Raw genomic sequence first — 15783 nt, forward strand, 5'->3', positions numbered from 1 at the left:
GCTAAATTATAGGTTAAACTTTATTATAGGTATGTATATATAGGAAAAAATACAGAGTTCAGTACTATGTGCAATTTCAGGCATTTACTGGGGGTCTTGGAGCATATATTTCTTGCGGATAAGGAGGGACTACTGTATTATGGATATACTACCCTATTAATTATATTTCATTTCTTTCCTTTGCCCATGACTAAAATATATTGCAGGCTCTCTTCTTTATAGGTTTACTTTATTCTGAATATGTGCCCACATGTGTTTACCTTAAGGAAAATATTCGGCTTTTCTGATCTCCATGGATGCCTCAGAGACTGATAAAATGTAGATAGTTTGTAGGTGAAAAATGTTAAGTTCAAAGAGCTAGATAAAGATCTAAGAAACAGAGCCACTGAGTTATCTGCATCCTTTTCAGCTGGAGAATGCAGGGGTGTGTGTGTGTGTGTGTGTGTATAATGGTGTTATTCCCTGTGCCCACTTTCTTGATACTGTTGAGGCCCAGAACGTGATACCCCACAGGGTGACATTTTTACATGCCCAGAGGTCTCTTAATTTTGTCTACCTCACCCAGCTACCCACCGTCTCCCACAGCGCAGGGAGGGACTCTTTCTGGAATTTCCTATTTGACTAAGATAGCTTCTTTCCAACAGAAATGCAATTGTCTTAAATTCCCTTTCTAGAGATCTCACCAGATAATCAGGAAAGATGTACCACTGCAGTATAATAGAGAGTGGGCACCATCACCATGCTCAGACTTTTCATCTATAGTTCTGAGGGCAGCTCTGAGGGATTAACCTGGGAGACTATTGGCTTAATAAGACAACCTTTGTTTCTGTGCAGCTTCACTTCTCACCTTCCAGTAATGTCTGCCTCCCACTCTCTGGGTCCATTTATTCTCCCTGAAGATTTACTGCTCCTCAAAGAATTACCACATTCCCCATCTCACCCCTCCCCTATGAAAAGGGGTACATAAGCTTCTGTTCCACCCTAGGTTATTGGATAATCATTCTATGATTCCCTCCATGCTATGCACATTAAAATTAAATTTTTTATGCTCTTTCTTTTGTTAATCTGCCTTTTGTCAGCTGATTTTTAGGGAACCTCCAGAGGGCAAAGGGGGAGTTTACCCTCAGCCCCTATAATATTTTTATTCATTTAACCCAGGTTCTTTTTTACCAAGTAGTATATTCCTTTTAAGTTAGCTCTACTTATGGGCACCAAATATTCAAAGTCACAGAATGCATGAATGAGTGAGAAAGAGTATATATGTATATGGGGAAAGTTTTATCTTTATTGTCCCCGTTGAAATATGCATTACCTTTGGCTGTAAATATAACTGGACAGGCAAATGCAAAACACACAGTCTGGTTCTCTCATTGAAAAGCTCGCTCTGCCCCTTCATGGTTTGACTCTATGGAAAGTTAGCGGTGGTTGGTGTTTGGTGTCAAATGGAAACAATTTTTTTTGTTTTTGAGACAGTCTCACTCTGTCACCGAGTCTGGAGTGCAGTGATGTGACACTCTGTCACCCAGTCTGGAGTGCAGTGGTGTGACCATGGCTCACTGTAGCCTTGATCTCCTGGACGCAAGAGATCCTCCTGCCTCGCCCTCCCAAAGTGTTAGAATTATAGGCGTGAGCCACCCCAACAGCCAAAACAATTCATTCTTAAAGCAGTTGGGGCAGAGGCTGGACGCAGTGGCTCATGCCTGTAATCTCAGCACTTTGGGAGGCCAAGGTGAGAGGATCACTTGGGCCCAGGAGTTCACAACCATCCTGGGCAATATAGCAAGCCCCTGTCTCTACAGTAAAAATTCAAAAATGAGCCAAGCATGGTGGCATGTGCCTGTAGTCCTAGCTACTCAGGGGGCTGGGGTAGGAGGATCCCTTAAGCCCAGGAGTTTGAGGCTGTAGTTACTATGATCATACCACTGCACTGTAGCCTGGGTGACAGGGCATGACCCTGTCCCTTTTATATATGTTAAAAAAAGGAAAAGCAATTAAGGCAGATCAAAGGCATATGTGCTCAGAGGGGTAGTCTGGCTTGGGGTGTCAGAGCCCCATAGGAGGGGAAGGAAGGCAGGCAGGAAGGGAGGGAGGAAGGGAGGGAGGGAGGGAGGGACGGAGGAGAAAAGAGGAGAGGAGGGGAGGGGAGGGGAGGGGAAGAGAGGGGAGAGGAGAGGAGAGGAATTTAATTATTTTGGAAATAGAGCACTGGAACATTATTTTCCTAGCCAAGTTTTCCCAGCATGTAATCAAGGACGATAACTTTCTGCATGCTTTCCCAGCTTTTGTCTTCCTCCTCTCAATTATCTGGGACTTCAATTTAAAAAGAGAATGAAAGGGAGGGAGAGAAAGTGGAATTAGCCTAGATCCATGTACTTGACTGTCTCATTCATTTCTTTTGGCTGCTAATGAAAGGTCAGGAAATTTTCCCCTGGCTACAGATGGCTCAGAACCTGACACTACTGAGTTGATCAGTTGCCCAGTAAGAAAAGAGAACATTAAATTGTGTGCCATGACATTATGCTGCTTTAGACAAATTTATAAATTCTGCTTTCTTGAGTGTATCAGTAATTCTACTCCAATTACACATGTCTGGCCTGAATGGATAATTCACAATCGGCATATAAAAAGGGACCTAACAACCTTGGAAGTCTAACAGTAAGCCATCACTCTCCATGTCAGCTAGAAACAAAAAGAGAATTAGTGCTAGGACTGAAATGCTTCTCCAAACTAAAAGAGATGTTTAGGGTTCTACTAAAAGTCAACAGTTTCCATTAGGCATGATCAGGTGGTTCCTGATATAAACAAACACAGGTGACATGGGTCTCACAGGCAGTCTTGCCCAAAAGATAGACGAGCAGTTGACATCTTCCCCTCTAGTTAATTTCCATGCAAGCAGGTTGTAATATAAGCTCAAACTTAGCCACTATAAGATAGTAGTGAAACCGTGGGGTCCAATATTATGCCAACATGGAGAAAATATGTTCCATACCCATACAAGAGAACAGGAATCCTAGGGGGTAAAATTCAATTGTAGTAGGCCTTAATTGTTTGATCATATTTTTGCCTGCCTTCCCTACCTCTAACAATATTGGAAGTAACAATATATTGACAATTGATAATTTGTCTAAAACTGTCCAGTTTACTTCACAATGTGTGTTTGTGTTAATTTTGAAACCACTTAAGCTTATAGAAAAGTTGCACATAACTGTACAAAGAGCATACCTTTCAACTATTTAAGAGCAACTGGCCGATCTATTGTACCTCTCCTCAGATAATTTATCTTGCATTTTCTATGAGGCAGGACATTTTCCTGCATACTCAGAAAACATTAGAACTTGGATATTAACACATTGCTATCATCTAATCCACAAACCTACTCAAATTTTGCCAACTGTTCTAATGGAATACTTCAAGAAAACGATCTAGTTCAGAATCAGGTGTTGCAGTTAGAGGTCATGTCACTCTAGTCTGGAATAGTTCTTCAGTCTTTCTTTGACCATCATGGCCTTGACACTTCTGAAGAGTACAGGTCAGTTATTTTGGTTTGTCTGATGTTTCTTCATGACCATAAAGTTAAGCACTGATTCATCATTTATTGATGATGGTAGTCTTGATCATTTGATTTGAGTCGTGTCTACCAGGCTTCTCCACTGTAAAGGTACTATTTTACTCTTTCTAATTAATAGATATTTTGTGAGGAGACACTTTGAACTACATAGTTTTCACCTCTCATTAAACTCCCAAGTTATTTATTTGTTTATATTAGAATGAATTCATGGAATCTCATTTTATTCAAACAGTTATAATCCACTCAAATTGTTCCCAATTTGGCCAGTAGGAGCCAGGACTTCTGTGTCCTTTGGACATGTCTCCTATTTTTTTTTGAGCACTTCCTTGTTTTCTGGTACTACATGTTCCAGGCTTATCTTGTACTGTCTTCCCCAGATCTGAAATTAGCCATTTATCTAAGGAGCCCACATTTCCATCTATATTTATTTTTATATGTTTATTTCTAAATCTATCTATATCTATTGAAAACCATGTGTGGCAGTCATGAAAATGTGCCTCCTGGATCTCCAACTGCAGGAAACATAATAGACTGACAGCCCAGCTGCTGTGCTTTGAAATCAATCACTGCTACTTCAGCCAAGGCTATGCTTCCCACCAGCTGCTCCCAGCCAATAGCGGAGCGCAACAGAGATACTAAGGCAGGCCTATTGCTGAGGGACATAGGGTTCCTCTGACGGACAATTTTGACTTCTTATCAAGCTTTGACGAAACTCTTTGGAACAGGCCCGTAGCTCAGATGTTCCCTATCTAACCTTCCTTCATTCCCTCCATTCTGCACAGGGGTTTGACCTGCACTGCAGTCTGTTGGCTCTTCCCAGGCCTCCTGGGGTTCCCTTCCCACCTTCCTTGAGATGAGTTTTCTCCAATTAATCTCTTGCACATCTAATCCTTCTTGGCACGTGCCTCTTATAGAACCTGAACCAACATACCATGAGTTCACACAAATACCTAAAATTCCAATCCACTGCTACAGGGTTCATTCTAGTTTTCTTCCTTTCCATATTTGTATATACCTACTCTGACAGTGAGAAACCTGGCTTATCCTTAGTACTTTCACTGGTAGGGTTGATATTCCTTAGTGTAACCAATCTTGTAACACTGATGTCACCCCTCCCAAGTGGACACTCAGTCTTTAATGCCTGGCTATGGAGCCACCTTCCATGTGGATGTTTGCACCCAGGTTGAACTCTGATACCTTGTATGAGTGATCATCCTTACCTTCCTATGGGGCTCTGACACCCCAAGCCAGACTAGCCTATACTTTGTGCAAAATACTGTGCTTGGAACTGGGATATAGAGCAAGAAAAGCATGGCCCCTGCCCTCACAGTGTTTATCACTCACCAAGGAAGATAAACAATGAATGAATAATTGCCATATATTGTGATGGTGTATCACATGGGGAACCCACCAAGAAGAGAACACATGTGATTCTCATATGCATTGCACGTAGTGAATGCCCAATGGTGATGGTTGTTATCATTTCATGTATTTTTACTCTTGTTACCGCTAAGCACCAGCATCACAACTGTTCCTCCAGGAGAAATCTATAATTAGGGGATAAGAAGCTAAGAGAACATGGCTTAGATGCTGAGCTTTAAAGGAAAGAGAGAAGAAAGTTAGTGGGCAGGGTGTGGAGTGATTTGGGAATCTAAGGCCTCAGGAACTCCATATGGCAGGTCTTAACTGGTTTGTAGACATTTGCTGATAGGATAAAGAGGGCAGGGACAAGGAAGAGTAGAGAAAGTGCCCTTGGTTTTTCCCGGCCAGGCAGGTACTCAGTAATTCTGTGTATTGATTTGAGCAGCATTAACTGGGGTGGATCATTAAACATTTGTGTTGTTTTTCTTTATATATCAAAGCTTGTTTGTGTGAATTTTTCCTTGCCTGCTCTGCCATTCCCACTTTCTCCTCCAAACCCCATGTATTTACTGTAAAATGTCAATGCTCAGTAATTCAAAATGCAGTAACAAATATTTCTTTGTTTTCTTGGCATTTAAAACAGCCAGGACATCTCAAACTATCAAAAGTGGAGTTGTCCCCCATGCCACTCCCCAGCCTTCTTACTAGCTCTTTGATGGGTGGAGCCTCTCTTGTTCCCTGCTAGGGCCCCTTAGTGACAACCTTAGTTTAAATCCTCACCATGTATCAACATCTACATCTGCTGATTTGAGGCTGTTGCCTTCTCCATGCTGCCAAACACAACTCTGTGATAATGACAGCATTTGCCAGCACGCTTATGTGGTGACTCAGGAGACAGGGTGGCCAGCAAAGCAGCCTCTTTGTGGGAGTGGATTTTGAGAAGTGCTAATTCCGTGGCAGTTTGGAGATATTAATACCGTGCTGGCAGTAGATAAACAGACATCCGAGGGGCATATAATGAGAAGATAATCAGCCACTGCATCTTTTCCTCCTTGCTCTACCAACACATTTATTTTTTCTTCTTTAAAAAAAAAAAAGCATGTTCTCCTGGGTTTTGACGAATAGAGCCCTTAAATTGCGTAAACATGCACAGATACTGGTTGGTTCAGCTCCCAGCATCCCCACAGTATAACTTTCTAAGAACCACTGGTGTGTTAGGAGTTAACCACATTTTCAAACAATACTCAGTCATAGCATATGGCACGGTAGCCTATTGCTTACCATAGCCTCTCCCTAAAGGGCAGCAAACCAGATGGTTTGAGTAGGGCCTTTGGTGTAATTATGACAGACACAAAGAAAGACATAACCACCATTCTCCCTCAATAATATCATGCTTCTTGTTTTCCAGTATTTGCTATAGTTAATTATACTTAATTTTTGAAAATTTGTTTTTGCAGTTTGATTGTTCATAACAAAGTTCCCTTTCCAGGTTGGGGAGGAACCATTCAAATATGTATCATTAAGTGTCTGCATATCATTTCCCATTCATCCTTCTCTAGCTAGTAGATGCAGGCCACATAGAGTGGCATCTCTCATTCCCAAGTGTGAGCAATTTTCTTATTCTGGCAAAAAAAAAAAAAAAAAAAGATTTGTTGCATTTGAGAATTACTTTGCATTAGAGTCTAACCTGAGATTTTTTGTAGCTCCCATGGAGTATTGCTCCAAAACTGGTCATCTCAGATTTTATATTGTTTACTTTCTTTGTTCCCCATCTTGATTTGCTTTTTTCTTTCTTTTTTGAGATAGGGCCTCATTCTTTTACCCATGCTGCAGTGTAGTGGTGTGATCACAGCTCACAGCAACCTCAAACTCCTGATCCTCCTCCCTCAGCATTCCAAGTAGCTGGAACTACAGGCATGCACCACCACACTCGGCTAATTTTTAAATTTTTATTATGGAGATGGGGGTCTCATTGTGTTGTCCAGGCTGCTCACAAACTCCTGGGCTCAAGTGATCCCAGCGCCCGGGCCTCCCAAAGTGTTGGGATCATAGGCATGAGCCACAGCACAAAGAATTTCCTTTCTACTAGAATGCCTCCCTCCTGCCTGCCTCTTCTCTCTTCATTCATAGTCTTATCTTTTCCAAGCCCACTTTGGGTAGAAGATCTACTCTCAGGAGTTCTTATAAGAGAAACACTTCGTTATGTAAAACCAATGTTTCTAACGTTGCCAAACTAAAAGAAGACATTTTCTGGTTGTTCTGTCGGCTAGAAAGATTTTGAGAAATTTAGGTCATGCTTTTATATGTTCCATTTTTTTCTCTATGTGCCTAATATTTTATAGCAGACTTTTCTTGAGGGCAGTGGCTTGTTTATAACATTCTGTAAATAGCCTGGTGCAATGTGGGCTTTTTACAGATTTTTTTTTTTTTGCTAGTTTTTAATATTTGGATTGATATAGCATCTGACTGTACTAACCAGAAAAATGCTGAGCTAGGGAACTTTGTTATTTAACCTTTTATTTGGATTTCTAGCTTAGCAACTCATAGGTCTTGAAACCTTGGCTTCTCTCTCCCTCTGCCAGAATGCGTTAAGACCTCCAGGTGCTAACTGTTATTATTTCTGTTGACTGAGCCCCATATGCACTTCTAGTGCTCACTGACCTATCTTTTCTGTTGCAGAAACATTGCTGAGGCTCTTGTCAGCAAAGGTCTAGCCACAGTGATCAGATACCGGCAGGATGATGACCAGAGATCATCACACTACGATGAACTGCTTGCTGCAGAGGCCAGGTAAGACCAAACATTACTAAACACATGGGGAACCCACACCCTCACTTTTTTCTTTCCCAGTTTTGTGCCTATACCTGAGCAGAATGTGTTGGAAAATAATATGCTGAGAAAGCATGTATTATTATTCTAGATTTTCCCCATGAAAAGAAGGACACACTTTGAACTTGCTGTCTAATTTTGTTTAAGTGCACTTGGTCTTCCATTTTAAAAAATATGTAAAATAGGTATATATTAGATATGATCTCCCTTTGTAGCTGTATAAAAGAAAGCATGAATGAGTGCTCTATAGGAGATATGTTTATCATCATTCCGGGACTAACTGTGAAGCCGTGCTTATGTCTGTAGTACATTTGCCTCTGTTTCTTACCTCCAAAGGCCTCTACTCCTAGCCCCTCCCGTTTACCACCTCTAGACCTTTTGTCATGTACAAAGGAAAGAAAACATTTATTAGGAAATGAGTTTTAGTTTCAAACACTTCTGACAGCTGGCAGGAGACCATTTGAGAAGCCCTGTGACATTTTACTTTTGTCCTTCATCCCTGTGGCTGGTTGCCCCAAGGACATGCATGCTGCTCAGCAGTATTTCTGGCCATTGTCATCCCTCAAGGCTCTTACTCAGGGAGTCTTTTGTCACTGGGTAGTGTGGTAGTTGAGTGATTCCCAGACTTCCTGGGAAACAGAGCAAGAACTGAGCTACTTATTGCTGAACTGACTTGGATAGCTCAGCAGACTGCTTGGACTCAACCAAAATATATCCATTGTTTAAACGTGATTTCAGAGGCCTGCCTCACTCAGCAGTTTTTCCATAGCCTCTAGGACCCATTTAGTTCTAGGAGTTTGGTAATTGTCAGGTTATTTTCTATAGTTAGAGGAGGAATGATTCTGGGCACATGTTATCTAATCTCGGCTTCAGATTTTGTCATTGAGATCACTTCTCTTGCTCTTTGGCCCATAACATTGCCCTGATATGTGACATTTACCTCTAACACCGTGTCACATCCTGATGGATAGAGCATCTGTAGAATGTCACACAGAATGTCAGCCGAGAAATCAGTCTGTCAGGCTGCTGTGGCTTTTGGATTCTTTCTTGTGGGCTTTTCCCAATAGACCCTGTTGAGGACCTCATTCTTAAGTACAAAGAATCCAGTGAAAATACTCACATCTTTGGTTTTTTAAAGCTCATTAATGGTCATTTAAAATACGTAGTTCGTGATTGGTGTTTTCTCATAAACCTCCTTACTTTCTTCTCTCCCTACCTATATTATCAGTAAGCAAGACAGTCCCAAAGAACTCATGATGAGAAATGTGATCATGATTTCTCATGATCTTGGTTCTGTTTTGTTTTTTTTTTAATTTTTTTAATTTTACTTTTTGTGAGTATATAACAGATGTATGTATTTATGGGTTACATAAGATGTTTTGATACAGGCATGCAATGCGTAATAATCACATTATGTAAAATGGGGTATCTGTCCTCTCAAGTATTTATCCTTCATGTTACAAACAATCTAGTTATACTCTTTTAGTTATTTTGAAATGTACAATTAAATTATTATTGACTATAGTGACCCTGCTGTGTAATCAAATACTAGGTCTTATTGATTCTTTCAAGCTATTTTTTTTTTTGTACCCATTATCCATCCCTACCTCTCCTCCACCTTCTCACTACCCCTCCCAGCCTTTGGTAACCTCTCTACTCTGTGTTTCCATGAGTTCAATTGTTTTGATTTTTAGATCTCACATATAAGTCAGAACATGCAGTGTTTTTTCTCTCTGTGCCTGGCTTATTTCACTTGGCATTATGACCTCCAGTTCCATCCATGTTGTTGCAAATGACAGGATCTCATTCTTTTTTAATGGCTGAATAGTACTCCATTGTGTATAAGTACCACAGTTTCTTTATCCGTTCATCTGTTGATGGACACTTAGGTTACTTCCAAGTTTTGGCTGTTGTGAACAGGACTGTAGCAAACATGGGAGTACAGATATCTCTTCGATATACTAATTTCCCTTTTTTAGGCGGTATATACCCAGCAGTGTGATTGCTGGATCATATGGTAGCTCTATTTTTAGTTTCTTGAAGATCCTCCAAACTTTTCCCCGTAGTGGTTGTACTAATTTATATTCCCACCAGCAGTGTACGAGGGCTCCCTTTTCTCCACATCCTTGCCAGAATTTATTGCCTGTCTTTTGGATATAAGCCATTTTAACTGGGGTGAGATGATACCTCATTGTAGTTTTGATATGCATTTCTCTGATGATCAGTGATGTTGAGCACCTTTTCACACGCCCATTTGCCCTTTTTATGTCTTCTTTTGAGAAATGTCTATTCAAATATTTTGCCTATTATTTTAATTGGATTATTAGTCTTGGTACTGTTTGATCATCCAGCTCCAGTAGGAAATGGAACAATTACTAAACTATCCATGGGATTTGGGGGGTTGGTCCATGCTGGGCATATTCAGCCCAATCTGATGGTAACTTGAAGAACAGGTTATGCATTTCCAGAGTAGCAGGAGCCCTCAGCAATACAGTGGAATGTATAGTTATATTTTCCATGCAGGCTTCACACTGCCACCAGTGAATATGTTAATTCTGACAGGCAGGTAAGCATGGAAATAATTTGCAGGGCTGCTCTGGAAAGTGAGGCCAGAATAAGCTCTCTTATTATGCTGTTAGAAATAGCCATGTTTTGCTATAATACTTAATGAGCATTCATAGATAGTGAAATTTTTTAAGTTTTAGGTTTTAAAATGAAAACAGCCTTTTTAGTCTAGTGCTTATTTTGTGCAGAAGTAATGTAACAAGATGCTTGCTTGCTAAGGCAGTGAGCTGCCTAGAGATAATTGTGTTGAGCCATTGCTTTCAGACTGATGGTGAGAAAATTGGCTTCAGGGTCATTGCACTGTTGCAGGTTGAGTAAACGGAGAGAATTAACCACTTCCCTTTGCCCATGAGGCATTGCCATAAGGAAATACAGGCCCCATAAAGAATGGGGAGAAATACTCAGCATGAACTGTGAGTGAATTTTTATTTGGAGCAGTCTTGTCAGTGAGCCCCAGGACTCTAAGCCTGGTGCCATCTTCTCGATGCTAACCCCCAGGAAAGTGAAGTCAGATTCAAGAAAGATCAGAATGCTTGCTAGATAGGAATGGTGGTTTTGTAGCCATTAAAAAAGATTTTCAGTGCAGAATCCCCATCCTCATGGTTTGGTGTTTTGTTTTGGTGGCTGTGGTTGTTTTGAGACAGGGCTTTGCTCTGTGTCCAGGCGGGAATGCAGTGGCACAATCATGACTCACTGCAGCCTCCCTTTCTTGAAAATGGTAAAGTTGAACACTTTTCAAGACCACTTATGTCCTGACACTGGCTTATTTGAGTTTGCCTTTAGTTTGAAGCACCTCGTTCTCCTATGAACATTCCCCATGTTCCCTTAGCATTCTTCTCACCTCTCTCACGTTACAGCGTGTCAGAGCTCTTTCACTGCTGCTTCTGCCCCTTATCTGGCCAGGTATTGAATATTATCTGAGTTTAGGGTTGTTTTTTCCTAGATAGATTAGCTGTATGTTTTCTAGGTGAACTCTGCTTTGTGATTTTATGCCCCTGTCAATGCATTTTCTCTACCTCCCAGCTTCGTGTCCTCTGCAGATCTCATTAGTGAGTTGTTTACTCCTTTTCTGGGCCCTGAATAAAACCCCTAAACAAGAATGGCTTTGGTGTTGACCCCAAGTCTCTCACTGCTTGAACTATCACTTAACTGTCTTTTGTTTATCATTCTTCAGCCACTTTTTAATCTTCAGCGATTGTGTACTGAACCAAGCCAGTTTGAATTAATTTCCCAAGCAAAATTTCTTAAGGTACTGTATTTAATGCTTTGGCAAAAGCCAAATTCATAACATCTGCCACATTCATATCAGTCATTCGTTCTGACACTCTTTAGGTAAATAATAGACAGGTCAGGTGGCAAGGCATCATTCTGCTCTGTTCCTCCCTACCAGGGTGTTGATTCCAACAGACTTCTTTGACCCTGGTTATTGCTGGTGATATCGGCAGTGGTGCAGAGTGCTCTTCTGTTGACTTTGCTTTCCAGTGCACTGCTTGGCCATTAGTACTTTCAGAGAAACATTGTAAGCTTTGGGGAAAGGGCAGCCCATTAAACTTGTCTGACTTAGGTCAGCACAGCTGCCTGCCTAGAAGTTGATGAGCTTTCTCAGGGCTCTGCAGCCCCTACTTCCTCTGCAAAGGGATATGATCTGCCAACCTTTCTCATATCATTTCATGGGCGCTCAGGGAGTGATGCGGTAGGCACTCATTGGGAGACTAGATGAGACAGAGGGGGAAGAAGAATACCAATTTGCAGTTTGCCTGTTGCTTTCAAGCATATCCACCTGCCTGCATAGAAACAAACTCTACCACATCAGCAGCTCTGTTCAGTTCGCTGACCCTTCAGCGCTCCTTTACTCAGGTGCCTCTCTGCTTCTGGGAAACCCTCATAATGTCTTAAATACATGGCCCATCTAGAGGAAGTCACATCTTTTTTTGTTTAAAGGGTAAATAAACCTCACATTCCCAAAAGGCGGCCTTTCGGCCTTCTGGCCTTCCTTTCCAGCTCTGTTGTCTATCATCAGCTGACCCCTGCCTCATTACCTTATGTCCTAGCAAGATAAGGTTTTGGCATTTTCTCATATACTCTCAGGCCTTCTTTATCTCATAGACTTCGTTGAAAAGCCCTTGATGTTGTCCCACAGTTCTGAGAGTTCCAGTGTGTGTAGCCTCTGTTTTTTGTCCCCCCCTCCCCACCCCGAATTTAGGTGCAGCTGACCCACAGTTCTCTGTGACACTCCTGAACTTGGTCTCCCTTTTTAGAAGCATCATATGGACTCCTTAGGGAGTGTGAAACATTATTTCTGTTCTGCATGTTCCTGTTTGATTCCCATATTGACTTTCCAGCATTTCCAGTTCCTCTTTTTGTTTTAGTGTTTCTCAGTTAGCTGGCCTGCTACATATGCCTAGTCTTGGCGAGCCTTCCAAACTTTAGGCAGAGCTTTTAACTTCTTCAGGGAATATTCCGTATATCCTTCTGCGGTATTTCCAAGATAGTGAGTCATTACCGGGACCCTTTTTACTTTCTGAAGTGTCATAAAAATCTTTCATATGCTCTATTTTATGTATTTGGTGTAACACATCCAAGTTTTGATTTTGGAGAGGCCAGAATGTGAATTTCGTCATCATGCTAGATGTCTTCCAAGTGGAGCTTTTGTTGAGCATGTTATGGACACTGAATACAAGTTGGTAATGTTTAGAGTCCGATCAAAACGTGGCTGTGTGCTATGTTTTCTTTATACATGGGGGATATCATCTATGTACATCTTCTGATGCTACCAGTAGCTTTATTTTAAGAATTCCTAGAAATTGTTAGAATCTGGCTCTTTGCAGGAAAACACAGAAGTTATGTTAGTTCAGAAGTTGGGGCTTTATTCCTTTAAGGTATCTTTTAATTCTAAGATTTGCAATTTCAAGATCGGATGTATATATTCAGAAAAGAAATTGATGCTCCAGCCTGACTGTAGGAAAGCAATTGTATTGAACAACCTAGTGTCTGAGCAGATTTAAATGAATTTAGATTCAGTCTGGTCATACATAATGAAGTTAGGGTTATCTCAGGAGAAGAGAAAAGGGCAGGCTCTCTCTTATCTTTTCATGTGTATTCTATTTCTTGCCTGGCACACTGCAGATTTAGAAAACCATGGTGGTGTCATCCATCTTTGAGAGGCAAGTGTGAACCTGCCCTCATCTCAGCATCGCCTTGGCTACTTCTCTTCCTGGTCCCCTGAAGGACTCATTTTTCTGATTCAGCAAACCCTCTTTCTAAAAAACAAAAAACTAGCACTCCAGCCTTGCTGTGTTCTACATCTCCAATCTCCAAACTCCAAACCCCATAAGCACCAGTCTCTTGCTTTTTTTAGTGAGATTGGCAGTGCCCTCATATTTTAGGCTTCTGTGTTTGAACCTGTAGGAAATCTGTGCTGGCATTTCTGTCACAGACTTTAGTCAAAAAGCTATAAACATATCAATAACTCTTTCTTTCTTAAACCAATATCCCTGGCTATTATTAAGAGGGATTCAGTATTAATTGCATATCTCTCTTGGTAACGCAGTTAATGGGGGCCACAGTGGGCTTTCTAAGTTCCATATGTTTGTAGCAGTGACTTGTAAATATATTTTGCAATTCCATTGAATGAAGAGCTTCCACTGGGAAGGAAATGCTCTTGGTCTTCCACCCTGGACTTAGCTAGAGGAGCTCTCCCTTTTTTCTGATTTATAGGGAAGTTTTTCCATAAAATTTCAATAAATGGAAAAAGTAATGTGTGCCTTAAAAAAAAAAAAAAGAAGAAAGAAACTGTTGACTGGTCCTTCATATCTGTGTCTTCAGTTTTACTAGCATTCACATACTGGTTATGAATGGAATGTGAAGAGTTACTTGCCAGTATTTTCTGTTGCTAAGTTAAAAGATAGAATTTTAGGACTCTGAAATGGAAGAGGAGTATATTGGTTTGACACTATTGTGATTTGTTAAATGTTTTGATAAGAAAATTTCATTTCTATACCAGTCTGTTTAGACAGTTGGCATTGAATTTATGTGTTTTGAAACTTTAAAACTGATATATCCTATCACAGAGTGTAGATTAAATGGGTTAATCAGTTCTCCAAGAAAGCATATCTTTCCTCTGTCAGAAACAGTGGTCAAGGCTGGTCTGTGTTGCATGTGATGGCTTTGCATTCATTTCTTCTCTTTATTCCTTTTTTTTTTTTTTTCTTTTAAGTGTATCCTGGCTTCCAGGCATGGGCGATAATAGCGGTGAACAAAAAAGATAATAGACTCAACCCTTTACAAAGCATGCAATCTCAGAGGGACAGGCATTAAATAATTTTATTAGTACTGCTGGATATTGCTGTTTTTCCTATTTCTTCTCTTTTCTTACCTGTTTTCTTAGCCCTCCCTCTTTCCTCCCTCTTTATTTTTGACACTGCTTGCCTTACATCTTTTTTATGCCATCTCTCATTTCTATTAAATTGTCCTGTGAGAGTATATTCCTGAAATTCATCTTCTCTGTCCAGCCTCTGTTCTTATCTTCTCAACAGTTTAATGGTATGGCTTTTAAATAAACCATGATTTCTCACCTTCAATCTAATGACCTCAACAAGGGAAAATTCTTTTTGAATAAAAGTAGAACCTATTGAATATGGTGAAAAACAGAGCTCTTACTTGAAGTTTAATGGTAGATTCCTGTAACACCAGGGTACTGTTGGATTTTTAGCTCAAGCATCATAGGAAGCGGTAGTTCGGTGCCTTACGACTGCCCTCTTCACCCTCTGCATTACATCATGCCAGTACAGGTTGAAAGCCAGCACAGAGGAGGAGACTGGCCTTTCTCTTAAATGTCCTAATGGCTTCCGTTCTTTTTTAACTTTGGAAATGCACACCCCACCCTACATTTTGGGGTTGCAGTTAAGTGTCACGATCATGAGGTTGCTAACTGGATTCAGCACGTGTCATTATGTGTCTGTGGAGGGTTTCGCTGTTGGGGAGTAGGGAAGATAAGTTTTTGCAAGTGGATGTGATAACAGGAAAATGCATTAAAAGAGCTGGTGTTGGGAAGTGATTTGACGATGCAGCTGAACGTGGGGAAATTTAGCTTTTCCCTTTCTTCAGAAAAGATGATGCACTCAACATCCAAATAGCAGTAATCAATCTGCATTTAAGGCAGCACAAATGGCCACTTCTGGAGAGCTGTATGATGTCTCCATTTCCAAATAGTTTTCTCCTTCAGGATATTAAGAGGATCTGTTCACTCCCTCCATCCCATCCTTCTCTTCCCTCCCCACCCCTAGTTCCTTCTGACATAACTCATGCTGTGAGACTTTTCTTTATGATTCATGAGGGGCTGGGGTATAGCTGACGCCCTTTAGCTTTATCTCCTGTCTTGACTAGCAAGCCGTGGGTAGTCCTGCAGATCATGGGTGGATGATTAACTGCTGGAAAGCAGTCCTCCTTGGCTCTGTTCT

The 15783-nt window shown here is 40.9% G+C and overlaps 1 protein-coding gene across 2 annotated transcripts in view; it reads left to right on the forward strand.

Moving 5' to 3' along the window:
• Window positions 1-15783, forward strand: part of SND1 (staphylococcal nuclease and tudor domain containing 1) — a 440400-nt gene that overhangs the window by 228099 nt on the left and 196518 nt on the right. For both annotated transcript variants that reach the window (NM_014390.4, XM_017011987.3), the window contains exon 13: window positions 7610-7720. In NM_014390.4, coding sequence (NP_055205.2) covers window positions 7610-7720 — 111 coding nt within the window. The remainder of the gene's footprint in view (window positions 1-7609; window positions 7721-15783) is intronic.

The sequence above is a fragment of the Homo sapiens genome, chromosome 7 (genome assembly GCF_000001405.40).
Source record: "Homo sapiens chromosome 7, GRCh38.p14 Primary Assembly".
NCBI classification, from domain to species: domain Eukaryota; kingdom Metazoa; phylum Chordata; class Mammalia; order Primates; family Hominidae; genus Homo; species Homo sapiens.